General features: G+C 51.7%; 10 annotated features.

Moving 5' to 3' along the window:
* Window positions 1291-4782: an enhancer, noted in NCBI's record as "VISTA enhancer hs2567". NCBI's record gives its function as "enhancer in: heart[7/7]" and the evidence as "EXISTENCE:transgenic organism evidence [ECO:0001131][PMID:17130149]".
* Window positions 2195-3182: an enhancer, noted in NCBI's record as "H3K27ac-H3K4me1 hESC enhancer chr5:1840901-1841888 (GRCh37/hg19 assembly coordinates)". NCBI's record gives its function as "activates a minimal SCP1, AML or CMV promoter by ChIP-STARR-seq in naive H9 embryonic stem cells {active_cell/tissue: H9 hESC(naive)}" and the evidence as "EXISTENCE:reporter gene assay evidence [ECO:0000049][PMID:30033119]".
* Window positions 9303-10296: an enhancer, noted in NCBI's record as "H3K4me1 hESC enhancer chr5:1833787-1834780 (GRCh37/hg19 assembly coordinates)". NCBI's record gives its function as "activates a minimal SCP1, AML or CMV promoter by ChIP-STARR-seq in primed H9 embryonic stem cells {active_cell/tissue: H9 hESC(primed)}" and the evidence as "EXISTENCE:reporter gene assay evidence [ECO:0000049][PMID:30033119]".
* Window positions 11409-12102: an enhancer, noted in NCBI's record as "H3K4me1 hESC enhancer chr5:1831981-1832674 (GRCh37/hg19 assembly coordinates)". NCBI's record gives its function as "activates a minimal SCP1, AML or CMV promoter by ChIP-STARR-seq in primed H9 embryonic stem cells {active_cell/tissue: H9 hESC(primed)}" and the evidence as "EXISTENCE:reporter gene assay evidence [ECO:0000049][PMID:30033119]".
* Window positions 12103-12796: an enhancer, noted in NCBI's record as "H3K4me1 hESC enhancer chr5:1831287-1831980 (GRCh37/hg19 assembly coordinates)". NCBI's record gives its function as "activates a minimal SCP1, AML or CMV promoter by ChIP-STARR-seq in primed H9 embryonic stem cells {active_cell/tissue: H9 hESC(primed)}" and the evidence as "EXISTENCE:reporter gene assay evidence [ECO:0000049][PMID:30033119]".
* Window positions 15549-16064: an enhancer, noted in NCBI's record as "H3K4me1 hESC enhancer chr5:1828019-1828534 (GRCh37/hg19 assembly coordinates)". NCBI's record gives its function as "activates a minimal SCP1, AML or CMV promoter by ChIP-STARR-seq in primed H9 embryonic stem cells {active_cell/tissue: H9 hESC(primed)}" and the evidence as "EXISTENCE:reporter gene assay evidence [ECO:0000049][PMID:30033119]".
* Window positions 15879-15988: a silencer, noted in NCBI's record as "silent region_15889". NCBI's record gives its function as "represses an Ori minimal core promoter by ATAC-STARR-seq in GM12878 lymphoblastoid cells {active_cell/tissue: GM12878}" and the evidence as "EXISTENCE:reporter gene assay evidence [ECO:0000049][PMID:35858748]".
* Window positions 16065-16580: an enhancer, noted in NCBI's record as "H3K4me1 hESC enhancer chr5:1827503-1828018 (GRCh37/hg19 assembly coordinates)". NCBI's record gives its function as "activates a minimal SCP1, AML or CMV promoter by ChIP-STARR-seq in primed H9 embryonic stem cells {active_cell/tissue: H9 hESC(primed)}" and the evidence as "EXISTENCE:reporter gene assay evidence [ECO:0000049][PMID:30033119]".
* Window positions 25955-26454: an enhancer, noted in NCBI's record as "H3K4me1 hESC enhancer chr5:1817629-1818128 (GRCh37/hg19 assembly coordinates)". NCBI's record gives its function as "activates a minimal SCP1, AML or CMV promoter by ChIP-STARR-seq in primed H9 embryonic stem cells {active_cell/tissue: H9 hESC(primed)}" and the evidence as "EXISTENCE:reporter gene assay evidence [ECO:0000049][PMID:30033119]".
* Window positions 26455-26956: an enhancer, noted in NCBI's record as "H3K4me1 hESC enhancer chr5:1817127-1817628 (GRCh37/hg19 assembly coordinates)". NCBI's record gives its function as "activates a minimal SCP1, AML or CMV promoter by ChIP-STARR-seq in primed H9 embryonic stem cells {active_cell/tissue: H9 hESC(primed)}" and the evidence as "EXISTENCE:reporter gene assay evidence [ECO:0000049][PMID:30033119]".

Here is a 27414-nt window from a genome sequence, read left to right as displayed (position 1 = left end):
TAATCCCAGCACTTTCGGAGGCCAAGGCGGGTGAATCACCTGAGTGTGAGACCAGCCTGGACAATGTGATGAAACCCTGTCTCTACTAAAAATGCAAAAATTAGCCAGGCATGGTGGCAGGCGCCTGTAATCCCAGCTATTTGGGAGGCTGAGGCAGGAGAATTGCTTAAACCTGGGAGGCGGAGGTTGCAGTGAGCTGAGATCGCGCCACTGCACTCTAGCCTGGGTGATAGAGCGAGACTGTGTCTCAAAACAAAACAAAACAAAAAAAACCCAGCATATTTTACTTTACACAAAATAGGTGTTGTGTGTCTAAGTGATGCTTATACGGGGAGAACGCGAGATGGTGACCGGCAGGATCTCTGGAGGGTGGCACTGAGGAACCAGAGAGCTCCCAGGAGACGAGGCATTTCCCACCAACGTGCCGAAGTCCTGCTTTTCTAATTGAGGCATAACTTTAAAAGCAAAGATTCTCAAGGGAAAAGGGGAAAAAACAAATCACCATTTTAGGAGCACATGGTATAGAGTTATCAGGTGAAGCCTGCAGAGAAAATAATAATCATAAAGCATTTCCAGTTGAAATCCATGCTTTACTGCATTTCTGGCCTCCCCTCTGTCTGCAGCCACAGAGGTTGCACTTGGTTTTCTGGGGTTCTTGTTCCTGTTTTTCCCACTTGTTTACGACCCACCCACCCCCAGCACATATCACAACAGACACGAGGGTCCTGAGTTCACGACCCACTCACCCCCAGCACACACCGCAACAGACAGGAGGGTCCTGAGTTCACGACCCACTCACCCCCAGCACACACCGCAACAGACAGGAGGGTCCTGAGTTCACGACCCACTCACCCCCAGCACACACCGCAACAGACAGGAGGGTCCTGAGTTCACGACCCACCCACCCCCAGCACACACCGCAACAGACAGGAGGGTCCTGAGTTCACGACCCACCCACCCCCAACACACACCGCAACAGACAGGAGGGTCCTGAGTTCAGTTCACGACCCACTAACCCCCAGCACACACCGCAACAGACAGGAGGGTCCTGAGTTCAGTTCACGACCCACCCACCCCCAACACACACCGCAACAGACAGGAGGGTCCTGAGTTCACGACCCACTCACCCCCAGCACACACCGCAACAGACAGGAGGGTCCTGAGTTCACGACCCACTCACCCCCAGCACACACCGCAACAGACAGGAGGGTTTTTAGTTTTAAAATATCTTGCTCTTCCTATGGCCGTGAAGTATTTGCACAGTGATTTTCGTATTATTACAGGGGCTGACTCAGCTGCTCTTTGACGTGCAAATAGCAAACACGTTTCTTGATTCACTGGAATTGCCGCCTTTTCCTGAGTGGAGATTTCTGAAGGTGATGCACAGGTTTGTATTGGTGAGAAACACCTTTTCCCCCTTGTTGCCTATCAGGGCATCATGTTTTCTGTTATTTTGGTAAGTGTTTAAACTAGAATGGAATTTAGAAGCTAGAAAACTTCTCATTAAAAGATTATAAATCACGGGCCGGGCGTGGTGGCTTGCATTTTCTACCCCGAAAAATTATTTCACTTTGGCAACACGTGTAGATATGAGCAATAAAATGTGCCTTATACAAATATTGTCAAAGTGCATTTATGGTGATATAAAACCCTGTTGTAATTCTAATCAGTAACATTAAGTCACTCGTATTGTGGAGTGAAATTCAAGGATGAATTATGCCCCTCAAGTGTGGGTTGCTTAATAAAATAGAGTGCATTTTAGTGTGCTTCCAAACTGCCTGAAATTCAGATGAGGCAAAGTCTTTCCCACCCACCCTGTAGCTCCCTGAGTGCTTTTCATGTAAACATTAATACGTGGGGACTCGCGCTGCTGCGCCTTCAGAAAGTCATCCTTAATGTGGTGCAATTGTATTGAACTGTCCACTCTGCTATTAAATCAATCACAGGGAATTACAAAGCAATGATTATCTGGGAAAATTTCAGCTTTCTGATTCTTCCCATCAAATGAAACAGCAATACTGTTCCTGGGGCTCCGTGGGTCTGCGTTTGGGATGAGCAAGTGGAGATTCTCTTAGTTTTTTTATATGCAGGTGATGTTTGTTCACAAATGAATGAAGAAAAAATTCATGAATGAAAAAACGAATGAAGAAAAAAAGTTTCCCCCCCTTTTTTTTTTTGGTTAAAGAAGAAGCCACATCCGCCTTTCTCATATTCTTGGTGTTACCTGGAAAATGAGATAACCCAGATTTAACTAAACCCAATGAGAAGCTGATTCTGCCAATCTGATTCTGCCGATTGCCCGGCAACGTGATTTCTTGTGTCCATCATTATTTTAAACTGCATGTCTAAATAAAACAGCTGGTCTTCTCCTTACTCCCCAGTGGCAAGAGGCTCCCCTCTCCGGGTCTCCAGGCCCTGTCTTGCATGGTGGGTGTGTGGCTCGGCTGTGCCTCTGCATACGTGGAGACCGTCCAGGCCCTGGAGCAGCGGCTGCCCAGCCTGCAAGTTCCTTTCAGAAGCAAAGGCACGTGAGCGCTCATGCATGCCCCAGGCCGGCACAGCTGGGTGTCTGGGAGCCGCGCAGGGATGGCGCTGACAGGCCAGGCCAGTGCCCCAGTCCAGGCTGTCTTCGCAGGGCCCTGCCCCTGACCACTCAGGAAGGCTGGAAGCTGCTCCCACCAGGCGACCCTCTATCTCCTCTGGGTGACAACACTCCCCTCTCGGCTTCTCCAAAGGTCAAGCCAGATAACCCGGGGCCCGGTGCCTTATCTGCACCCTCCCCCTCCTGTCCCCTGAGGAGGGACAGAGTGCAGAGGGGCCTCCTCAGGGAGCCGGCGCTGGGGATGAAGCGTGAGCCTCAGGTCCTCAGTCCTCAGTGGGAGTCGGCCCAGGGCCTGCGGAATCCTCAACTCAGGGGTCGCCAGGCCCCGTGTCCTTGCCTCTCCCTGCGTCCTTGCCTCCCAGTCCCCGTCCACACAAAGTCACATCACTAATTCACGTGGCACCGAATGAGGAAGCAGGTGCAGGTGGCTTTCCTGGAAATGGGGATCTCAGATGCCTTGGGGCGATGTCTCCCCACAGTGGGGCCAGTTTGCCTGCCAGCTTCCCACGTGCCTGTGTGTCCGGCTGGCCTCACTCCTCCCAGCTCCGGCAGGCCTCGGGTTGCCTTGCTGTCGCCATGCTGGCCTATCTCTGCCCATCTTTTTGTGAGTGTCTTCTTCCTGGATGTCTCTGTGTCCACACTCCCCTCGTGTGAGGACACTGGTCTTATTGGATTTAAGGCCCCACCAGTCCCAGTCGGTAGGGCCTCATCTTACCTTGATTACATGGGAAACAGCCATGTTGCCAAGTGAGGCCACATTACAGGCCCCAGGTGGATGTAAATTCTGGGGACACTATCCACCCAGAGCAGGTGCCGACACACTCGTCCCAAGGCCTGGCGAGCCCGACGCCCTCAGCTCAGTCCACCTTCAGGTCTTGGGGCTGTCATCTCTGCCCCCCTCCTGAAGGCCTCAGCAGGGCTGGGGTGCACACAGGGCCAGGACTCTGCCACGGAGCAGCAGTGCCTGCTAGACGTGGGGCACCCCCTCGTGCCATGCCTCACCCAGGACCATCTGGGCCATGTTCAGTCCCTGAGCAGCAGGAGTTGGCACCAGGGCCTGGGTCTGTGGTGTCAGCCCCCTGCCAGGTGGTGAGGAGCCATCTTCCCCACAGAGGAGGCGGCTCCAGCTCCCCGGGGCTTCACGTGGGACACCGCAGGGGGAAGGGCTCAAGAAGTCGCCACCTGCGTGGCTGTCTGGGCTGCGCGGCGGTTCCCTCCAGTGATGTGCAGGAAGATGGAGGGTTAATGCCCGCGGACGGCAGCTCTTTCACGGCTCCAAGTTGTGTGTGACCCAGACTCGGGAGCACAGCAGGGAAATCAGGAGCCGGTCTTGTCCCAACATTAGAGAGAGTGAGGAAGATCATGGATTAATTAAATAAAAGACTAAGCAGGACAAACCTTTGAACAGGAGGCATAACATTTAAGAATAAAACCAGCGCGGACGGGTAAAGGTCGGAGAAGATCAAGTAAGGTGCTAATAGTTGCACTTTTTCCATTTTCCTATCGATCAATATTACATTTTTTCCAAGCTAAAATGCAGTCGCAGAGTTATTGCTGACCTTTTCCTCACCCTTCCATTGTGTATAAAATCACAGCAAAATAACAAACGACTTTATAAGCCACAGAATTTTTCTGATCCAAACCCCTCAGGTGAGCTAAGATCTCCCTCAAAATCTCTTTCTTTTAGAAATAGGAGGAATGGGCTTCTCTCTGCTAATTTGCTGCTGGAGAACACTTGCCTTTAAAATAAATCACCGTTTAAAAACTGGTTTCATCATCTCCGCCAGCCACGCTCAGAGGATGGTCGTGCCATCCTTTCTGAGTGTTGACTGCGTGGTTCTAGAAGGCCGGGTCTGATCTCACACAAATGTAGACATCGTACCCACGATCAATGCTTTCGGAAGCAGGGTTATGAGTCCATGCTTTGTCAATCGCAGTTGATCAGATCATGCTTTTTCTGTCGGAGAAAGTATTTAGGTCACTGTCCAAAATACTTCTTAGGAGCTGCAGAGGAAAAGTCCCGCGCAGAGAGGAAAATCCACACGAAACCCGTCTTCAGAGTCGCGTCCTGGGCCAGGCTTTAGGGGAGAGACTGACCCACAGGCCAGACACACGACCATCTGCTCATTTCCACGGAAGCTGAGCTTGCTGGCTGTGGTCGTCAGGGAGTCTTGGTGGAAACCGTGCACGGGGCGTCCGCATCACGTGATCCCAGGAGAACAGAAGAGGGAATTGCGGTTTAAGATCCAAACAAGTGGCAGGGCACAGCGGCTCACGCCTGTAATCCCAGCACTTTGGGAGGCTGAGGCTGGCGGATCACCTGAGGTTGGGAGTTCGAGATCAGCCTGACCAACACGGAGAAACCCCGTCTCTACTAAAAACGCAAAAAAATTAGCCACGCGTGGTGGCGGGTGCCTGTAATCCCAGCTACCTTGGAGGCTGAGGCAGGACAATTGCTTGAACCCGAGAGGCAGAGGCTGCGGTGAGCCGAGATTGCACCACTGCACTCCAGCCTGGGCAACAAGAGCGAAACTCTGTCTCAAAAGAAGAAAAGAAAAGATTTAGATTTTAAGTTTTTTAGTGATTGACCTAATCTAGAAACTGTCCCTGTTACAGGACAGACTCGAGTGACTGGATTAGCAGAGCTCATAGTTTGCGGCGCCTTTGTGAACTGTACGGCACTGTCCACAGCAGGCTTTTCTGTGGGTGCTCAGTATGATTCTCACACGAGCAGCCGGTGAACTGAATTCCCACACACTAGGATCCAGTCCATTAACACGAAGCCTCTCCTATTTTGAAGTTAGTATAATATTTTCAAGAAGGCAGGTTAATTTTTTTTAATACTGTATTCATTTAGTTCTGCTTAAAACTAATGAGGAGTTCCAGTAATCATTTATCTTAAGTAATTTTTTAAAAATGTATACATGCAAGCATAGCTTGCCAAGTAGATGTGGCTGTTAATTGGAATTTATATTTGCACTTCAGGACTCAGGATTGGGTTAAAAGGTACATTTTGCTAATTACAGTGGGTTCAAGGTGTTTGTTGCGCAGAATCCTGAGCCGTGGCTGGATGGCCCTGCGGCAGTGTGAGTGACAGAGCAGCATATCCACAGGTTCACCCCCAGCAGCGAGGGGACCTGCCCAGCTCCGGAGAGTTGACAGAGAGCTGAAGCAGGAACGGGGCTGGGTCCCGCCGCAGCCCCTAGTTCAGTCCAGGTGGGACCCTCCCAAGGCTGTGGGGAGGGAGAGTGGGGGCTGGGAGACAAAGGGCAGGTGGGTATTAGTGAGCGCTGAGTCCTGGGGCAGGGCTGGAGAGGTCTGGAGCCATTTGGGTTCTGAGATAATGCAGGAGTCCTCCCCTCACCCACATGCCTCCTCTTTCCTGAAGGGTTCCAGGGACAGCCTCCAGGAAAAGCCAGGCCAGGAGTGGGGAGCGAGACCCTGGGCCTCTGCATGCCAGTGTGGGGGCGGCTCACTCTCCAGGCTCCTGTGGGTGAATCTGAAAAGAGGAGCCCCTTCCCTCCAGGGCTCAGAGCCCTGCAGGCCCCGCCAGAACCCCGAGCAGGGAGCAAACCACCCGCTGGCCCTAGGGAGCCTCTCCCCTCCCGGGGGAAGACTGGCTGACCCCTGCAGGCCCAGGCAGCTGGAGGCAGAGGTCGTCAGGCCCAGGTGGCAGGGGGCCGAGGTCACCGGGCCTGGGTGGCAGGGGGCCGAGTTTGTCAGGCCTAAGCGGTGGAGGGCAGAGGTCACCAGGCCCGGGCAGTGGGGAAGGGAGGTCACCAGGCCCAGGAAGTTGCAGGGGGGTGGAGGTCACTAGGTTTGGGCAGTAGGGAACCGAGGTCACCAGGCCCGTGCAGCGGCAGAGTGGAGGTCACGAGATCCAGGCAGTGGGGGGTGCAAGTCACCAGCACTGGCAGTGGGGAATGGAGGACACCAGGCCCAGGCAGTGGGGGACAGAGGTCACCAGCCCAGGTGTGTGCTGATCAGCACAGGCCAACGAACTCTCTGAGCAGAGTCAGACGTGGCCCTTGTAAAGACCTCACTTCGGGTGCTGGGGGGGCACTTCTCACTAGTACCAGCTCCTTGGATGCCTCCCACCGCAGCTGCGTTGTTCCATGCAGAATCGCAGCCAGGCAGAGCCTCGGGGAGCCTGAGAAGGTCCCCTTAAGCTCGAGGAGAAACTGTCCCGAGGGTCCTGGATCATCACCATTTATTACAGACATGGCTACAATCAACTGAACAGCCGAGCTCGATTCTGGGTCCCCCGTGGCACAAAACGCTCTTAAGTATCACCCGACACAGGTGTCAGCGCCCTGTGTCTGGGGTCCACAGAGAGGAAGGAACACCCAGTCCTGCCCTGGAGACGCCCACCAAGAAACAAGACCCCCACCTGAGAACCACACGGGCAGGGACAGGGAGGCCTCCACCAGGGAGCCCTGCCAGCTGCAGCTGGCTTCGGGGGAGGGCTGGAGAGGGACACTAGGACAGGGGGCCCCACCGACAGGACAGTGTGGAGGGAGAAGAGAGGAGAGAAAGACCAACCCAATGGGGACCCACGGAAAGGCCCCAGGGGGAAGAGACAGGCTGCGGACAGGGGCCTGGCCTCTGGGACACAGAACAGCCGTGGTGTGAGAACAGCCTAGAAACAGTGTCCACAAGTGTCCCCGACAACACGCAGTCAGCCCGCGGACAGCGAGGGCCCCAGAACGGGCAGCTCCAGAGCAGACCAGTGCTGTTTAAAGATCGCCAGTAACAGCTCTCGCAACCAGAGCCGAGTGCCCCGGAGGCCTTGAGGCTGTCATCGTCACCTGCTGCCTCCAGGAAAGAATGCAAAACCCTAAAATAGGAAATGTGGGGCCAGCAGAGGAGGGGCCGGCACGCAGTCCTTGAAAGTGGGGGCTGTTGCCCGCCGCCTCTTCTTAGGGTAAGAACGGGGAGAGTCATCAGGCCTCTGTCTGTGGAACAGCAGCTCCATTCAACAGTCATCAAAGGTAACAGACAAATTAGCATTATTAGTACAAAGTATACGGTTCAGCAAAACTAACAACACACTGAAAGATGAAAAATGATGACTCGTGCATGTGGCTTTTATTTTTAATGACACAAATCTCATCTCTTTGCAGAGTTTGCTATCTTCTTCAAACTTTGCAGCCAATCTCACCCACGGATTGAAGAAGACAACTTGTAAATAACAGGAGGAAACTTAAGTAGAGCATTTAATTTTCTCTTCAGTTAAAATAAAAAAAGTAAATGCTGGAAATGGAAATGATGACGAGAAATATGCAAGAAAATAAGCCATGATTTTTCTGGCACAGCACTTTATCTTTACATAAAATTGGGATTTTGTTGATAAGCATTTTTACTGAAGCCAAAAAGACCTCTCCTTCAGTTATGTTTTTAATCCTAACATCTGGATAGAAATTAATTGTTCCATTTACAAATTAAATGAATCTTGTGAAGAATAATGTTCACCAATAAAATGTGCCTGAAAGATCTGGAACATCAGAATTTTTCTTCCTGTAAACCACAAAAAAGAATTTTTCATATGAAAGAAAACCATGAGGTTTATGGAGCTCCAGAGCGTTTGTGAGCAAATCCACCGGGGAAGCCCATGGTGGCATCTCTAGACTCAGGTGAGGGTAATGCGTCTGCAGAGTGAGCCTCAGCATTGGGACCCTGTGTGACCAAAGGCAGGACACGGCCATCGCAGCACAGAGGGGTCACCGACGCACAACAGGGCTCCCGGTGCACCCGCAGCAGCTTTCTTCAAAATTACCCAGACATTAGAGCAATGCTAGCCCCTCAACGTGGGCTCCAAGAACGTGGGAAGTCAGCCTGCCAGCCACAAAGCTGCCACGTCCTCCCATCCGGGTGTGAATAAAGCACCCACAAATGCCTCCTTAGTTGGAACTGAAAAAAAAAACAAAAAAACATTCAAATACATTCCTGTATTTTATTGTTAGATGCAACATTCGCCTTGGTTTATATAAATGGTGAGATTTCCCGATGCAAAGTTTTCATCGTGATTTTCTGGGGACCTGTCATGAAGATGGAGATTACGTGACACCACGTCTGAGCCCCGTCAGCTGCTGCCACACCTGTCTCCCGGCAAGCTGACCTGCCCCTCGTCTCTGTCTCTCTCCTCCAGCTCCGAAGACTCGGCCCTCACTGGTCGCCCTTTGTCTGGGGAAGGACAGATGAGGCCCCGGGGGGCAGACTATCTCATTTCCCTTCCATTTACCTCGTAATAGTGTCTACAAATAATCTCCCGCACTGGAAAAGAGGCTGCCTGTGACTTGTTTAGAATCTCAGTCTGCCAATTTCTCCATCCACATTTCATCCCGAGGGGTCTAATCGCTCCCAACCCTCTGGAACCTGTGGGGTCCACACTGTTCTGTGCCCCAGGCTCCATCTCTGCCCGGAGGGTTCGGGGTTGTGGGTGAGTTCTCCTATGGGCACCCCCAGCCCGGGACGGAGCCATGATCCATTTATGAGCCAAGGCTGTGCCATGCCTTGCTGATTTATTTTCCTCTTTCAATAACATCATAGCATCTGAGAAAACACTTCACTTGCCCTCATTTTAAAAGATATAATGAAATCTCATTTTTAATTACCTGAACAAAAAGGTTTCAACTCCATCAGATCGCCTCTCAGGGCCCGCAGAGGTATTAACAGTCTCCAGAACCAATTACCTGCATTTCCTTTTTACTTATTGCAAATGTGACCTTTTGTGAGAATTTGATTGTGAGCCTCCCGCTGTGAGAGGGTAACCATGGGCGGGGGCAGCGTCTGAGGCCCGTCTCCCCTCACGTCCGAGCTGCTGTTAATTTTAATCCCCTCTGATGGCTGCAGGACAAGCAGGTGTCTGAGACCCAGTGCAGAGCGGGCGGCGGAGGTGCCAGCTCAGGAATGAGAGGAACCGGGCTGTGTGGTCCTTCCAGACACAAACCCACGCCCACGACTTGGAGGGAGGGGCACCTGCTCCGATCTTCAGCAGGAAAAGAAAACGCTGTTCTGCCTGTGGTTCCAGAATCACCTCTGCCACCGTGGAAACATGGATGGGCCGGGGCGGCAGGCACGAGGCTGAGGGCCTCAACTGGGTTTCAAGCCAGAACTCCAAGACGCCAGGTGGAGCGAGAGGGCGGGTGTCCTGGCTGGACCCTTTAAAAGGTGCAAAGAAGGGTACACGTTGACCCCGCATCCGAAATGGCACAGGCGGCAGAGGTAGGCCTAAGAAGCTCTGAATGCCCGGAGTGGTGGGAGCCCTGCCAGCTCTGCAGACGCCCAGGGAGGCAGGAGCAGCTCCCAGCAGTGACTTGGAGAAAGGCGAACTTGATGGGGGAGACACCACTGCCTGGCCCAGGGCAGAGAAGAGGGAGCAGCCGGGAGGTGGAGGGTCCCACATCCCTGCCTGACAGAGGGCTATAGGAAGGGGCTCCGGGGCCCACTGGTGGATCCCTGCCACCTCCCTGGTCCTAGGTGGGCTCTGCAGCAGGGGGCCTGGGTAGAGACGGGAAGCCACCCGGAGGGACAGGCAGGGCGCACGAGCCTGGATTAGCGAGCAGGCACGGCCCCAAGGATATGCCACAGGAGGGGCTTCTCTCACCAACCCCCAGGCTGGAAGTCCAAGGTCAGGGTGCGGCTGGGCTGGATCCTCCTAGGGCCTCGATCCTGACCGTGTAGACTCCCTGTGTCCTTGCAGGGTCTGCCTCTGTGCCTGTCTGTGTCCTCACCTCCTTCTAGAAGGACACCTGTCCTAGTGGATCAGGGCCCACCCTAATCTTTAGAGGGCCTGTCTCCAAACACAGTCAGGTTCTCAAGCACTGGGTCAGGACCTAAACATATGCATGTGGGGGGCGTCATTCTGCCCATGACAGATACAGAAATGGAACCCAGGCTGCGCTGGCCACTGACCCCTAGTCCATCCCACAGCTCTGAGAAGGCCAGGCCCCAACGGGTGAGCCACAAAATTCAGTGTACGCATGCAACTTAAGAGGCTGGGGCCCTCTTTAGGATAAAGCTATGAGGATCGGTGATGAACTCTCCAATTCTCAACTCCAGCCTTTTCTACCACATTTGGCAGTTTTTCAGGTTAATCAGCACAGCCCTTGAGCAGGGAAATGAGGATGTGCTGTGGGCCTTTGAGTTGCTTTCACACGTCGGACACCCCCGAGAGCCCGGACTCCAGGAATTTCACCTTCGGAGGGGTTCAACCGAGGCTGAGTTCAAAGCCCCACCTGTGCCCCTTCATATTAGTAAGACAGTCCACCATCACAGTGGGGCTGCAGCAGACCCTTCGTATTAGTAAGGAGGTCCCCGCCATCACAGTGGGGCTGCTGCAGATGCAGGTGCGGTCATGGGACCAGTCCACGATGCTGTCACTTTTACCTATAGCTCCAATTTTTGACTTGTGTGCAAATGGGCCAGCGTGGCTCTCCTGGCCATGGGGGCCTCCCAACCATTCCTTCTCAGAGCTGGGCTTTGGCGCCAGGCTCTGCTCTCAGGGACTCACGCCCATGCCCTGTGGGCTCTGTGGCCGGAGGAGGCGGAGGCAACACCCAGCACCAGGTCCTCACAGTCTTTGCAGCGCGAGGTGCTCAGCGGAGATCAGAAGCCACCGTCCTTTGTTCACACCTGGGCTGGGCAGGCCCCTGCAGCTGGTCTGAACATGGGTCAGATGTACTCAGAAGGGGCCACCGGGATGTGTTCCTGGCCTCAAGCACACGGTGTCCTGTGTGGGGACAGTTTATCGCTGCTCCTGGCACTGCTCACACCGCGGCACGTGCAGGTTGCGTTTTGCCTTCAGTTGAGCCCTGGGCGTGCCCGGGGGGTTTCTGAGGTTTCTTGGGGGTCTGGGCTCTCATCACGTAAACAAACAGCTCAACGGTCTAGCCAGGAAGTGTGAACCCAAGTCAGGTGGGATGAGGGCTACTTTAAACAAACAAGCTACTCTGTTTTGTTTTGTTCTCATAGGGATTTACTTTAAGTATTTCTAAACATAGCTTTTGGAAGATTGTGGTTTTTTAGAGAAATAACTAATTTTATGATTCAGACACTACAGTTTGGTTACAAACTCACCCGTGTAGTGGAAACAGATGCCTGTAATAGGCTCTCGGAACCGCAGGTGCCTTTTAAGTGAGAAGGAAGGAAAACAGCAAGGAAGTTTCCCTTTGGATGCCTCCTCCCGGAATCCCTGCGGCTGGTGATGGTGAGCACACAGAGGTGCCATCCTCTCCTGCCACAGAGCTGATGATGGCTCTAGGGTGAGGAGCGACTCGATCTCCCTCCTGACCTGACTCCTGAAGCAGCCCTCTTGGTGCCCCTGCAACAGCAGGAGTGGAAGCACAGCCCACTCCCGAGGGAGACGGCACTCTCTCAGGAAGGAGGCAGCCCCAGCACCCCTGCGGGCCTCAAGGACAGATTCTCAAGTCCCCCTGACCAGACAGAGATGAGACACCAACACCCAGAGCTGCCCGAAGCATTCCAAGAAGCTGGAAGGACCGGGTTTTCTCCACAGAGGCCGGAGGCAGGGAAGGTTCAGCCCAGCAAGGAGCTGGCAGGAGGAGGAGCCGGGGGAAGGGGGCTGGGAACAGGGAGGGGCACAGAGAGGATGGAGAGGGTGTCCCCTCCAAATCCCTTTCCAGAGCCACCTGCTCCTGCTGCTTCAGCACAGCCAGCCCCAGAGTGCCTCTCATCCACAGCGCCAGGCCCCAGGCCCCAGGCCCCCTCTGGGGATCTCCTTCCATCTCCCCTGCCCCAGCAGCACCAGGGAAGATGCCTTTCTGGAATGTTCGCCTGGGCCTGGAGGGAATTTCACTCACACTAAGTGACATCTTTTCCTATTAGAAAACACACAGGGAGTGGAAAGTACTGGCGCAAGCACACACAGTTCTGGAAGCGACCCATCGTGGGCCGGGCACCTCCAGGGCGCTCCACGGCCATTCTCACGGCAGAACAAGCTCCATTCATTAATGAGGGCGCAGTAACTCACTTGGAGTATGCAAATGTGTTTGCAGAGGAAAAAGGCATTCTCAACAGTATATAATAAAATTAAATTAACAGAAACATCAGCAAAATCAGTGACACTAATAAAGTGCCTCCCGTCCCCGCACTCAGGGGAGAGGCCAGGAAACACTGAAACACACCAGCCTGCAAGCAGCACCACGACCAACGACCCCTAAGTACTCTCAGTAAAATAACGAGCCACCCAGGAAAATGAAGGCGAGAAATGAGAACTGCTGGGCTCCACCAGGACTGTGCTGGACATTTGTTTCCGAAGTACATGTCCCATGAAGAGATGACAAGACAGGGAGCAGTCGGCCCTGGGGGGGTTGTCAGGTGAGGCTGTCGCCCAGCACAGGGAAAGGGCCACCTTCCTGGGAGCCCAGATTCCAAGAAAACAACGCACTCTGCTTTAAATGGTCAGCGTGTCTGGCTTTCGTTCTGATGCGTCCACGCAGCGCTTCCATCAGCGCCCAGAAGTCAGGTCCACACATATTAGAAAGAGCCGCAGAGATGGAGAAGGAAGCAGAGGTGGCTACAGAGAGTGGGAGGGAAGGAGAGGGCTGTAGCCTGCCTCTGCCGGCACTGGGGAGGAGGAGGGGGAGGAAGAGAAGGAGGGATGAGGGAGGAAAAGTGGAGGAGGGGGAAGTGAGAGGAGGGGTGGGGAGGGGAGGGCCAAGGGCATTGGGACCACTTCTGGTGCCTGTGGAGGTTTCTTCTGGTGAATCTCCACCTTCAGCGTGAACTTGCTTTTCTCTGTGAAGCTCTATGCAGGTATTATAGCAATGCAAATAGTGGCCTAGGAACAAAGTTTTCGGATATCAAGAGTAACTCAGAACCACATGCCAGACCATGAAATCACGACTCACATGTTTTGGGGGAAATAAATTGTGACCTTTATTTTGAACATTTACATGAAATAAATGAATGCATTGCTAATTGTTAACCAGATGAGAAGAACATGAGTGAGACTGTATAAAGACTCAGTGGAATGCATTTGACTGAAGATGATGGTCAATATGAGAGTTACCAAACACAGCCCTTCCCTGGTTTAAATGGACAGTGTGCAGACGTTTCCTCTTTTTATCTGTCAAAAACATGGACGCTATCAACGTGCTTCATGTGATTTTTAGAGAACTCCATTTAATAAAAAGGCATGTCCCACGAAACACAGAGAAATCCCCTTATAACCCTGAGTTCAGAGGACAATCAACATCTTCAAGGAAATTACGCGACACCAATGCGTTACTGCACATTTTTAGAAGGTATTTATTTTCCTACTTAACACATACTTACATTTTGCTCGCCCTGGCCAAGTGTTCTCACAAATGCTTTGTAGATTTTAAACATGTATATAATTGGGGAAGAAAACTGTCCCTAAGTGAACAAAATAAAATCTCCTCAAGAGAACAAACACATCTTCAAAGCTGCAGTTCTTAAGGGTTTCGGTCTCAGCATCCCTTACAGTTGTAAATATTACTGAGGACCCTAAAGAGCTTCTGTTTATGTGGGCAATGTGCGTTGATATTTACCTTATTAGAATTAAAACCGATCATTTAAAATATTTATTGCCAGGCGCGGTGGCTCACGCCTGTAATCTCAGCACTCTGGGAGACCGAGGCAGGTGGATCACGAGGTCAGGAGTTCGGGACCAGCCTGACCAACATGGTCAACGCTGTCTCTACTAAAAATACAAAAATTAGGTGGGCACGGTGGTGCCCTGTAATCCCAGCTACTTGAGAGGCTGGAGCAGGAGAATCACTTGAAACTGGGAGGTGGAGGTTGCAGTGAGCTGAGATGGGGCCACTGCACTCCAGCCTGGGTGACAGAGCTAGATTCCTTCTCAAAAAAAAAAAAGTATTAATTCATTTTAAAATAAAAAACTATTACGTGTTAAATAGCAAATTTTAAAAAAATTATTCAAAGGAATGAAAAGAATGGCAGTGTTTTACACGTTGCAGTCTCTGTAGCGTCTGGTTCCATGGAAAACAGCTGCATTCCCACGCACGCTTCTGCATCCAGTCTGCTGTGATGTGTCGCTTTGGTTGGAGTAGGCAAAGAAAATCCAGCCTCACACAGATATCTAGTTGGAAAAGAAAGATCTATTTTATAGTATTTTCTGAGAATTTGGATTCTTCTTTGATATTACACTAAAACTCAACAAATTACAGTTTCCTAAAGCTTGGTCCCAAAAATAAAATCTGAAACATACCAGTGAACTTCATATTCCATTGTGTTAAACTCCACTGGTCTATAGTGCACTTTGTTTATTTTTTTGAGACGGAGTTTCACTCTTGTCGCCCAGGCTGGAGTGCAGTGGCGCGATCTCGGCTCACTGCAACCTCCACCTCCCGGGTTTAAGCGATTCTTCTGCCTCACCTCAGCCTCCCGAGTAGCTGGGATTACAGGCGCGCACCACCATGCCCAGCTATTTTTTGTATTTTTAGTAAAGACAGGGTTTCACCATGTTGGCCAGGCCGGTCTCAAACTCCTGACCTCAGGTGATCCGCCCACCTCGGCCTCCCAAAGTGTTAGGATTACAGGCGTGAGCCACTGTGCCCAGCCTCATAGTGCACTTTGACTCTTTTAACCACGCATAATTTTGTAACAGCTTGCACTGGTCATTAGCAGATACTGGGTCACTTAGCTAAGCAGATCTCCGTAAGTCAGCACATTCTACTTCACAAGGTGAGTAAGTCGCATTCATCCTCATTCTCACCGAGCGCCTCAGGAGTCTGTACATGTTGGGAAACTGCCAAACTCACAGTGGGGGATACTCGTTCCCCAAACTCTAGCATTTGTTTGAATGCTCAGATGTTCTGACGACAAACAGAGCTGACTGATCTCCCCAAAGTAGTGGGCTCACTTCATCTGGCTTCAGAAAACGTCTGGCGACAGCCACGTGCAATAACCACAGTGGCGTCCTTTCTTTGCAAGGGAAAATGGTGCTCCTGGAAGCAAGCAGCTGGGGCAGCCCACAGCCCAGGGCGCGACCTCAGGGCGACCTCGGAGCCAGCACAGGACTAACCTGCTCCCATCTCCGCATTCCTAAGCGGGGGCCAGACCTCAGTCCACCAGGATTCCATCCAGTGAATGGGATAAACACCAAGCCCAATCTGCCTAACAGAATGAGAACCCACAACCGGGCTCAAGCAGCATCCAAGGGCGCAAGCAGTGAAATCGGGCTCTCCCGCCCCTCTCATTCCTGCACACGGCTCCGCCCCTCCCAGCGCGCGGCTCCGCCCCTCCCAGCGCGCGGCTCCGCCCCTCCCTGCGCGCGGCTCCGCCCCTCCCTGCGCGCGGCTCCGCCTCTCCCTGCACACCACCTGCTCCGGCTCCCGCTGCGGCTGTGCCTCTCCACGCAGACAGGAAATGCCCACGGAGAGCCCCAGGACACGCAGGATCAGGCCTCCGGCAGGTTTCGTGTCCCCTGAGAGCTCCGAGTTCACGGACAGCCCCTTCTCGCTGTGTCCTCACTTTGTGGAAGGGGCGGGAAGCTCTCTGGAGTCCCTTTTATAAGGGCACGAATCCCATTCCTGAGGGACCCTCCTCCTCATACCACTTCATACCCGCCTCCTCATAACCCCACCGAGGGTTTCAACACTCGGATCTGGGGGGCTCAGCCATGCAGACCACATCAGTCCCGGCTGTTAGACGACATTGCTGAGCTGACCTGGCGAGATGATGCGAACATCCGGGGAGGGGGGGCCCCACAGGCCACAGGGCCAGGAGCATGTTTCCATAAGAGGAGCCGCAGTGTGCTACCAGCCGGTTCATCTACGCAGTCAAGTCACGCATCCTTCAGCCGGTTCATCTAGGCACAAAGTCAAGCTGGGAAACAGAGCTCCACGCGAGGAGCGTGATGGGGCAGGGGATGCCAGGCGTGGCCCCCGTGCCTTCAAAGTCCTCTCCACAGTGGTGAACAGCTAGCTGGCTCTTCCACCAGAGCCTCTAAATGATGAAAGTGCCAGAAATCCCCAAAAAGAAAGGTAAAAAAGAAAACGTAATTATTGTAAGACATGAGAAGTTTAGGTAGATAAAAAATAGTCCAGGAAGTTGAGGCTGGATCAGTTTTCAATCCCGGATCTGCCTGGTTTGAATCTTTCTTACTGTTACCTCCTGACAAGACCAGCCCGAAAGCAGGTCCCCTACATGGAGATGAAGCTGTTCTTAGAGTTCTTATGACTCACTCATGTTATTAGACTTCGTGCATTTACAATTCTTTAAATAAATCAACTGAAATTTAATTGAGTTAGACGTTATCGTTTTAAATTTTAAATAACTGCACTAAAATGAAATTTAAAATCTCCCTGTGTCTAATAAATTAGTACTGTAATGGTGATATTAGCCTGAGGAACAGCGCAGTTTAGCGTGAATGGAGAGGGCTGACGGGAGGGTCCCGAGGCTGGGCCGCGGGAGAGCAGTCACTTCCACAGGGACTGGGCCTCCCCATCTGGAAGCAGACACGCTAAAGGTTGGGCGGCTCCGTCTTGGGAGAAAGGCTGAACAGTCACACATGCTGCACTGGGAGCACCCCGGCATACCTCCTCCCCACCCAGGAGGTCACCCTTGAGGTGGGGCCTCCAGCCAGGCAAGGTCTTTTCTAGGCCAGGCCAAGCCAAGCCACTCCCCAGGTCAGCGGGCACTGTGGACACTGGCTCGTGGTGGAGACAGCCCCGGAGCCGTGAGGCTGATGTGGCGAGGCCGTCCTTGGGGCCAGGTTTGCTGGGGTGGGCGGTGGTTCTAAGGGCCCCACCCCTCTCCTGAACGCTGCTGCCGGCAGAACCAGAAACACACCTGTGACCAAGGGTGGTGTAGGACTGCCAAGGGTCCCTCCCTGAAAATAACCGTCATTCAGAAGCAATGGCGTCCCTGCCTGCTGGCTTAGTACGCCATGCTTGTGTGACAGGATGAGAATCCCAGATGGACGCCCCTCCCTGGCCACAGAAGCAACCACAGGAGGAAACTTGCTTCCTGACTTCCTTGTGCTGACCTCTGAAACCCAAGGCTGGGAACCACCAGTGTCCGGGTCTGGACACAAAATGGAAAACGATGGTTGACTGTTGACCAGTTAATTCACTCTGGAACGACATCTCCTGCTCAGCTCATCCGTCGTAGATGATTGATTTCTTGGAATAAATCATAATCAGGTGGAATATGGATTCACTTTGCTAAAAGAACTTGAAGTTAAAAAAAAAAAAGATGCTTCAACATAATCACCTGGGTCAGTTTAGTTCTCCTGATACTGTATTTTTTAAATTGTGGTGACTGTTGAAAGCATGAGAAGATACATTCATACACTGCTTTCTAAGAAGGCCAGCAAGGATGCTGCTCCCACTATTTTCATTTGCTTCTTGGAGAGCAAGGTCACTTTCTCCGTTTCTAAATTGTCACTGGCTTTTGTAGAAAAGACAACTTGGGATCTGAGAACACGAATGCTTGCTTTGTGCTACGCCTACTTGTTGAGAACTTACCAGAAGTGGTCGCAGAATTCACAACGGGCAGTGTCGGTGCCTCAGTGTGGCTTCCCCGCAAGGAGAGCCGGGCAGAGGCAGGCACCCCCAGGATGCCCTGAGCACCCAGGAACGGAGAGTGCAGAGGACACCCTATCGCCCTGGCCACTCCCCAGGTGGCCCCTGGAGGACCCTTACAAAATGCATTGCGGAACCAGTGCTGGGACAAAGGAAAATGCCACTGCCAAGACAGTCACACACGCTTCCTGGCCGCAAGCGGGCAGGTGGTAAGCAAGCAGGTGCTGCAGGTTCCCATGGACGTCTTGGGCCCTGACCTTGCAAAGCCGAGCCGTGAGCTGGAGCGCCCAGCACTGGCAGGGGAGAGGGGGACACACTGCCTGGGGACAACTGGGGAAGCCCAAGGGCAGCAGTACCAAGCTGGGGCCCGAGAGAGAGCTGTGGCCACTGGAGTCCACTGCTGCCCTTGTTGGTTTCCTCCTGCCTGGCACTAACCCTGTTCTGCCCAGAGCCCCTCCCAGGTCACGGCACCATAGAGAGCTAGCAGAGGAGGCTCTGCAGGGCCTCCCAGTGCATGCGGCTGCAGGTTACCATGTGGTGTGAGTAGCGTGCCTCATCTTCCATGGCCACTCTCAGCCGGAGAAATCGCCTGCCGGGTGGGGGAACCAGCTTCACCCCTGAGAGTTGGGTTGCTGGGCCTCGGCCACTGTTGGTCCCCAGGTACCCATGATCATCACTGTGGCAGCAGAGACACGTGCTGGGCTCCAGGCACCTCCTTACCTGGCGGTGCCCAGGTCCTCACAGGACCCTCTGTCACTGCCCCCCACCCCGCCCCGCCCCACCTAAGCAGCTCTCTTCTTTGCCTTCTGCCCACCAGCACAAGGGCTCCAAAGTGGCCAGGCGGCCCTCACAACTGCAGCTCCATGGCTGCCTCACTGAAGTACGGGGCGGAAGCAAGACTAGGGGGCCAGCAGCTGAGGCTGCAGAAATGAGAAGCACAAACTCCAAGTGTGTCCCGAGATGGGGCAATAAGAAGGGCAGGTCCTGCTTCCCTCCCCACCCTCAGGCCCTTGAATCCAATGTTTGGCAACTCAGTGCCACTGTCTGGGGCAGAGACACCTCAGCTGAGCCTTTGTCATCCCGCCTGCCTCTGGGAGGGGACACCGCAGGACCACGCTTCTGCAGAGTGTGCACGTCGCCTCGAAATGGGGCCCTCGGCGTCAGCAATGCTGTGTGGTCCCTGGAGACAGGTGAGGCTTCTGCGGTTCACAGGAGTGCTGGGGATGCTGCAAGTGCACTGGGACCCGTGGCGCGGTTCAGCTGGATCAGGCCGGGAAGGGCGCCCCCATCAGGACATGCGTCGCTTGCTCCCCTGCCTCAGTGACCCCCGGGCACAGGGGCCACGGTGCAGGCTAGGGGGCCAGAGCCCACACCTGAACAATACCTCCCTGTTGGTCCCATGTATCCCTCAGCAGCTGACATACACGCTCCGCACCTGCCCACACAGGACACCCTCTCAGACCTTCTCCCAGGTCAGCTGCTCTTGCCTCCACCAGGCCCCTGACCTGCCAGCCACCTTTCATCATCCCCAAGAAGTCCAGGCACAGCAAAGTCTAAGTCTATGCTTCCTTCCTTTAAAAGTGAATGGCCAGTCCGGGAGCAGCGGCCCATGCCTGTAATCCCAACACTTTGGGAGGTCGAGGCAGGCAGACCACTTGAGGTCAGGAGTTTGAGACCAGCCTGGCCGACATGGCGAAACCCCATCTCTACTAAAAATACAAAAATTAGCCGGGCGTGGTGGTGCGCGCCTGTAATCCCAGCTACTCGGGAGGCTGAGGCACGAGAATCACTTGAACCCGGTGGGTGGAGGCTGCTGTGAACCAAGATCGTACCATTGCACTCCAGCCTAGGTGACAGAGCAAGACTTTGTCGCAAAAAACAAACAAACAAACAAACAAAAACCAAAACAGTGAATGGCCAGGTCTTTTGCTCACAGAATGTGGAGGATATGAGCTTTCCCCATGCCTCTTGCTAAGTGCAACCGTGAACCCTGGACCCTGCACAAAAAACAAGCACAAGACAGACACTCTGAGAGGAGGGGAGGAGGCAGCCCCGCTGGGCTTGGAACCTGAGAAATGGCATTCTGGGGAGCCCTGGGCTTTTTCCTCATAGATCCCTGACAGATGAAGAAGCCAGCAACACAGAAAGACCAATGGATGCAAACCGCACCCCCCAACCCCCAAAAATGTCCTGCAAAAGCCTGCTGTCTCTGGCCGGAGACCCAGGGAATGAGCAGTATAACAGGATGAGAAATGTCCGGATGGGAACTGCTCCATCCAGCCAGTCACCAGGGGCCACACTGCACCCCACCCACGCCAGCAAAGGCCAGCGGGGGAGCCTGGACTCCACCTCCGCCAGGCCGCAACACCACACCTCAAACCCTACTAAGGTGGCATCAGGAAGCCGTATATGCCCATGTGTAAGATAACTCCCAGAGCTGCCCACACACAGAGACGCTCAGAACACCACAGGTATGAATCCTTCCCTGTGTGTGTCATCAAAACATCACAGAGTATCCTATGAATATTTACAATTATTTTTTGTCCATTTAAAGTAATTAATTAAAAGAAACACTAAGCACAGAACAAAAAAACAAAAAGGTGGATGTAAGCCCTAACATATCAATAATTGCATTCAATGTAAACAGTACAAAGACATCAATGAAAAGAATAGAAAAGGGCTGACGCGGTGGCTCATGCCTATAATTCCAGCACTTTTTGGGAGGCCGAAGTGGGCGGATCACGAGATCAGGAGTTCGAGAACTGCCTGACCAACATGAAACCCTGTCTCTACTAAAAATACAAAAAATTAGCTGGGTGTGGTGGCACACGCCTGTAATCCCAGCTACTCAGGAGGCTGAGGCAGAACTGCTTGAACCTGGGAAGTGGAGGTTGCAGTGAGCCGAGATGGCATCACTGCACTCCAGCCTGGGCAACAAGAGTGAGACTCTGTCTCAAAGAAAAAAAAAAAATAGAAAAAAAATAGAAAAAGTAGATTAGAAAAACTATGTGCTGTGTACAAGAAACTCACTTCAAATATGAGGATGTATACAGGCTGAGAGGAAAATGGTGGAAAATAACACATCAGGCAAGCATTAACCAAAGAAAGCAAGAGCTACTATCCTCGAATCAGATAGTGAAGGCTTTGGAGCAAAGAACATGACCAGGGACGGAAGGGGAGGCCACCGTGGTGTTTTGGGTCCCCTGGCATCAGTGCCAGCTCAGAACTAACATTCAGCCGTCATAGAAGAGTCTAATTATTCTCCTTTCCAGGTCACCATTACTCTGGAAAACAGTTAAAAGTACCTTAAACAGGTTGGTGGCTCCAGACTTCCAGTCCCCCTTCCTCAGCAGGCTCCAAGTCTGTGAACGTCTGATACCTGCAAACTGGGGGTCTTGTTTGCATTCTAGTGAGAAGGGTTGAGACATACACCCTGGTCTCCCACACTGGGATAAGTACGGCCCACCAAAATTCATGCCTGCTCAGAACCTCAGAATGTGATGTTGTTTGGAAATCAGGTCTTTGTAGATTTAGTTAAGACGAGGTCATACTGGGTTAGGGAGGGCCCTAAATCCAATGAATGGTGTCTATTATAAAGCCATATGAAGACAGACACACACAGGAAGAAGGCCACATAAAGACGAACACAGAGAATAAAGCGATGAAGACACAAAGCAAAGAATGCCAAGGAAGTCCAAGGATGACTGAGGAAGGACGAGGGAGGCCAACAAAGGCCAAGGACACCAAGGATGGCCAATGAAGGCCGAGGAACGCCAAGGAGGGCCAAAGAATGGCCAAGGAAGGTCAAGGACAGCCAAAGATGGCCAAGGACAGCCGAGGACAGCCAAGGACAGCCCAGGAATGCCAAGGATGGTCAAAGAATGGCCAAGGAATGTCAAGGACAGCCAAAGATGGCCAAGGACAGCCGAGGACGGCCAAGGACAGCCCAGGAATGCCAAGGATGGTCAAAGAATGGCCAAGGACAGCCCAGGAGCACCAAGAAAAGCAAAGGACAGCAAAGGAAGGCCAAGGAATGTCAAGGACAGCCAAGGATGATGAAGGATCGCCAAGGAAATAAAAGGAAGGCAAAATAAGACCAAAGAACGCCAAAGAAGGCCAAGGACGGCCAAGGAACACCAAGAAAAGCAAAGAATGGCCAAGGAAAGCCAAGGAATGTTGAGGACAGTCAAGGAAGGCCAAAGACTATGAAGCACACCAGCATCCACCAGAAGCTGGAAGAGAGGCTGGAATGACCTTCCTGGAGCCTTCAGTGGGAGCAGGGCACTGTCAGCACCTTGGTCTCAGATTTTAGGCATCTGTGAGGGAGTGGATTTATTGTTTGAAGCCACCCAGTTTGCACTAGTTTGTTAGGCAGCCCTAGGAGATCAGCACACACCTTCCAAATTCATTTTATGCCTAGACTACCAGATGTGTAATACCCACACTTCAGCCTTACTACAGGATTGGAGAAATGTATCTGATTTTCCATAAAACTAGGTGTTTGGTATGCACATACAAAGCAAGTAAAAAACCAAAACAATAGGCACTCCTCCCCCCATGTCTCTAGGACTAGTGGCGACCACCCCCCACCCTCAGGGCCAGGTAGATGAAGAAGCAGGGAGAGCTCAGGGAGCTTCATGTTCCATTGCAGGGTCCCCGCCAGGCCAGCCATGGGGGTCTGTCCTAAGTTGAAACACAGAGACTTCCTCAGAATGCATGGGCCACCTGTGGCTAAACTCCACCTGCAGGATTGAGAACAGAGTTATGAGCCCCCACACTTCAAGTCAGCTCGGAGCAACAGCACCACGGGTCTATGTGGGAGTTGAGCAGTCAGCCAAACATTTATTTACAGCCCCAAAAGGATGGAGGGTGAGCAGCTGTGGTGAGGGCTCTCCCTCAGGGCCCCAGAGTCTCACTCCAGCTTCCTGGTCACCCCGGTCCCAGCAGGAAGGTAAAAGCAAGAGCTGGAATGTGGTTTCCATGGGAAACTTGTTTTAACTTCCTAACACTAACTCAGTTGGTAGTATTTGTAGGAGGACTGTCTGGGACAAGATTCCGTAATATCTAAGTGAGCCACGCAGAGGGAATGTGTGGTGGTGGAACTGGCATGTGTAGGTAAAGGCAGGCTGAGTGGGGAAGAGACGGGACCCTCAAGCTGGCACAGGAGCAGCCGCCTCCCCTGGCGCAGCCAGCGCCCTATTTCCTGGCGGAGCAAGAAGCACCATGGTTGAAAAACCAGAGCTTGCCCGCTCTCTACCTCCAGGACCCAGGGCGAGTGCAGACGCTCTGCAGGGGAAGGCTGGGCTGCTGACTCAGCTGTTCCTCAGGGTGCTGCAGAAATCCAATCAGGGTAATTGGCTCTGAGAGTGGCCAGCTGCCCTGTGCATCCACCTTAGAGATTGCAGCCGGGACATATCGTTTCTGTGAACAGGTCTAAGGACACAGATTAGAATGACAAATTTTGGATGCTGTAATGTGAACATAGCTGCTGTAGGTTTTGTAAACAACAGAAGCTGAAACTGGTCTGCTTCATGAGTAATATTAGATCTTTTCTTCTCTGAAATTCTCAATCCATTACATTGATAAGAATATTATTTCCCCATGTAAAATTTTGTATGGAAAACATATTTACCGTGACACATTTATTATAATAATCTCAAAAAGTACAGAAAGGGTAGTAAAAATCACCCAAATCTCATTCCCAGAATCACAGTCAATGTTTTGGTGAACCTCTTTATACATGAATGCTCAAACAAGTTACAACTACAGCCGCAACCAGTGGGCATTCTATAGAACTATTCTGTTACTTGCTTTCTTAATGCAACCGTATGTAACATACTCATTCCACATCAATGAATATTGGTCCATATTATTATTTCCAATGGATTCATACTATCTCATTGAATTAAGCAGAAGAAAAAGAAACCTATTTAATCAGGCCTGTATTTCTGTATCATTTGCCTACCATAAGCAGTCCTTTTATGACAGCTTTGTGTATAATTTTCACACTTGACAACCAACTCCTTAGGATAAATTTCCAATACTAAGATACTAAGATGCTCCCTCCACTTCTGGATGCACAACTGACCCCCAGCCCAGACATCCAGAGCCGCTCCTTATACTGCTTTGCCCACGGGGCCTCACATCAGCTCATCATGGAAATGCAACACCTGCCTTTACACATGACCACTGGCCTTTGTGCTTCCTCTTTCATAAACTATCTTTATGCTTTTTCCCATTTCCCTCAAAGGCAGCTGTCTTTTTAATGTTGATTAATATAGGTTATGACCTATATTTTGCTATATGAGAAATTTTTTTATTATTTTCATTGTCAACAATTTCTCCAGTTTGTATGTGGCTTTTCTGTTTTGAAGAAAAAATAACTTCTAAAGTATTAGGAGGGAAAGAGAATGATAAAATAATTCTGCCAAACAAAGGAGACACAGGAGCATGGAACAGCTGGGACAGATGGCGGCTTGAAACTGAAGCAGGCCAGCAATTACACTAGACAGAAATGGACTAAAATCTCAAGGTAAGAGACAAAGAATTTTAAACTGGTAGCACATATTCAGCTATATTTTCATAGGAGATGCAACAGAAGCAAAGTCTACATTAAGATGCAGGTGAAAGGACTCAACAAACATAGTAAGCAAAGGTAACCAGACCAAGCCAGCAGAGCCCAGTTAAATGCTGGCAGAACAGACTTGAAAGCAAGTTGTTAAAAGATTCCATTCAGTGAAAAGATAAAGCCATTTTAAAATGAAAGACACTATCAGCAGAGCCTCAAAGGTAGTTCTTTAAAGAGGCACAAAAGAAGAGAGCAAGAACTCTGGGAGGGGCCCTGGGAGCCCGCAGTGGGAGGTCTGGACAAGGGTCAGCCTGCACTGAAACCCGAAGAACTCACATTCTGAGCAGGCGCAAGACGTTTCTAGAAACGCATGTGGTGGACCATGGAACAAGTCTCCACAGACTTCCCACAAATGAACTCATCTGAGGATGTTCTCAGACCACAATACAAATCAGCATAAAAGTGTAAACCCCATACACTTTGTTTTAATAAACACGCTTTTGTAAGATATTTAAAACTGAATGGTAATGAAAAAATAACCTACAAAATTAGGGGAAATGCAGCTGAAACAGAGATTAGAAAGAAATTTAGAGCATGAAATACACATGAAAAGAAGAAAAGCTGGGAACAAAATAATTAACCCACCTCAGAAAGTTATAAACAGAACAGTAAAATAAACAGCAAGAATGTAGAAACTGAAAATAACGAGCAGACATTAAGTAGAAACCAAAAATACAACAGAGTGGATCGCCAAGCTGAAGGTCGCTTAGAAATACAAATGTTACTGACAACCTCTGGTGAGACTTAGGAAAAAACAAAGGCACAGACGAACATTAGAAAAGAGGGTGTCACTGTGAACCCGAGACACTGAAAAATCTTGAAAATACTTGAGCTTCATCTCCATGCCAGTAAAACTCTGAAAGTCTCGGCAAGAGAGTCCAAGTTTTAGAAAAAACACAATCTACAACACTGGCTCAAGAAGAAGGCTGAACGTCCTGTAACTACTCAAGGAGACTTGATCTTAGATACCCACTTTCCCACAACAAACCCAGGCCCAGAAGACTTTCCTGCGAGTTCCACCAGGCAAGAAACAGGAATCCCAATCCTACACCTTCTCTTCCAGAGAACAGAAAATGTGGGCAGTTTCCCAACTCAAAGTGAGCACGGCCCTGACACGAAGACCCAAGGAGGACAGTGTTTAAAGGGGAATTAAAAGCAAGACTTGCCCCTACACTCAGGTCCACCTTGGAACGTGCAGGACTGACTAACGTCACTCACCATGTCAACACGTGTAAAGAAAAGCAGCATGGTAGCCCAACAGATGAAGGACAAGCATGTGGTATATTAGAGACGGTGGGGGTGCATCCGTAGCCCAGGGTGGAGCTTTGGGGCCTCATCTCCACCAGTGGCTCCCCCAGGGGCTGGCCTGGCTCCTGGCTCTGAGTCCTCGCTCCTCCCTTCTCTCCCCCTTCCCCTGGCCCCACCCCTTCACCTCTCCCCATCCCTGGTTATTCTGCATCCACATTTTCAGTTTCCTGGCCTGCTGCTCTTCCCTCTCTGGGCCCTCACGGGGACAGCTCACAGATGTCGCCACAGTTATTTCGAATCCAGGTGGCATCAATGTACTCCATCACATCTGTCTCCATTTTGTTTTCACGCCACTCCAAGAGGGAGCTTCAGCCTCCTTCCACCTCCACCCACCCAACCCAGAGACCTCCTGGATGCCTGCATCCCCTTCTTCCCTCTCCCCCTCCCAGACCTCCCAACTCAGCACCAAGGGCAACATGATTGGACTGTCCCTGCAGCCCGGGAGCATGGCCTCACACGCATGTCTGGGTAGCGTGCCACTGGAATGAACTGGTTCCCACTAGCAGCCGCTCCTGCCTCAGCCTCCCTCCCCACACCGAGGGCTGTGATCATGTCTGCTGGGTAAGGCCTTCTCCTCAAGGTATCTTCCCCAGTGGGGTCCAGGATGATGACCTCTGAACTCTCCCACATCCAAGAATGTCTTCCTCTCAGGATAAGGAATTTAACTTTGGTTATGCATGAAGATTGTGGACAATGTTTCACTCTTCCAGCCTCCAGCATCAAAGACAAAGAGGTGGATACCTGATCGCTGATCACTTTTCCACTACAATTTGTTTTCATCCATGCGCTTAAAAGGTTTTCTTTTTTCTAGACTCTAAAGTTTACAGCTTAATTCTTTTCTTAAACCAGAATATGCCTAGTTGTCTTTTCTCACCAATACTGCTAGGAACTTGGTGAGCCCTGTGATCTGTGGGTTTTTCTTTGGCTTGGGAAATGTGTTTCTGCTGTTTCTGCCTCACCTTCCCTCTCACCATCCCTCTCACCTTCCCTCTCACCTTCCCTCTCGCCTTCCCTCTCGCCTTCCCACTCGCCTTCCCTCTCGCCTTCCCACTCGCCTTCCCTCTCGCCTTCCCTCTCGCCTTCCCTCTCGCCTTCCCACTCGCCTTCCCTCTCGCCTTCCCACTCGCCTTCCCTCTCGCCTTCCCACTCGCCTTCCCTCTCGCCTTCCCACTCGCCTTCCCTCTCGCCTTCCCTCTCACCTTCCGTCTCACCTTCCCTCTTACCTTCCCTCTGCTCTGGTATTTCCTCCTCTGGAATTCCCGTTACTCACAGGCCAGACTCCTGGATCATTCTAGCAAGACTCCTTTCTCTTCCCTCAAAATCTACTTTTATTTTTATGTTAC

Source organism: Homo sapiens, chromosome 5 (assembly GCF_000001405.40).
Source record: "Homo sapiens chromosome 5, GRCh38.p14 Primary Assembly".
In the NCBI taxonomy this organism is placed as follows: Eukaryota; Metazoa; Chordata; class Mammalia; order Primates; family Hominidae; genus Homo; species Homo sapiens.
This window is presented reverse-complemented; position numbering and strand designations above follow the sequence as displayed.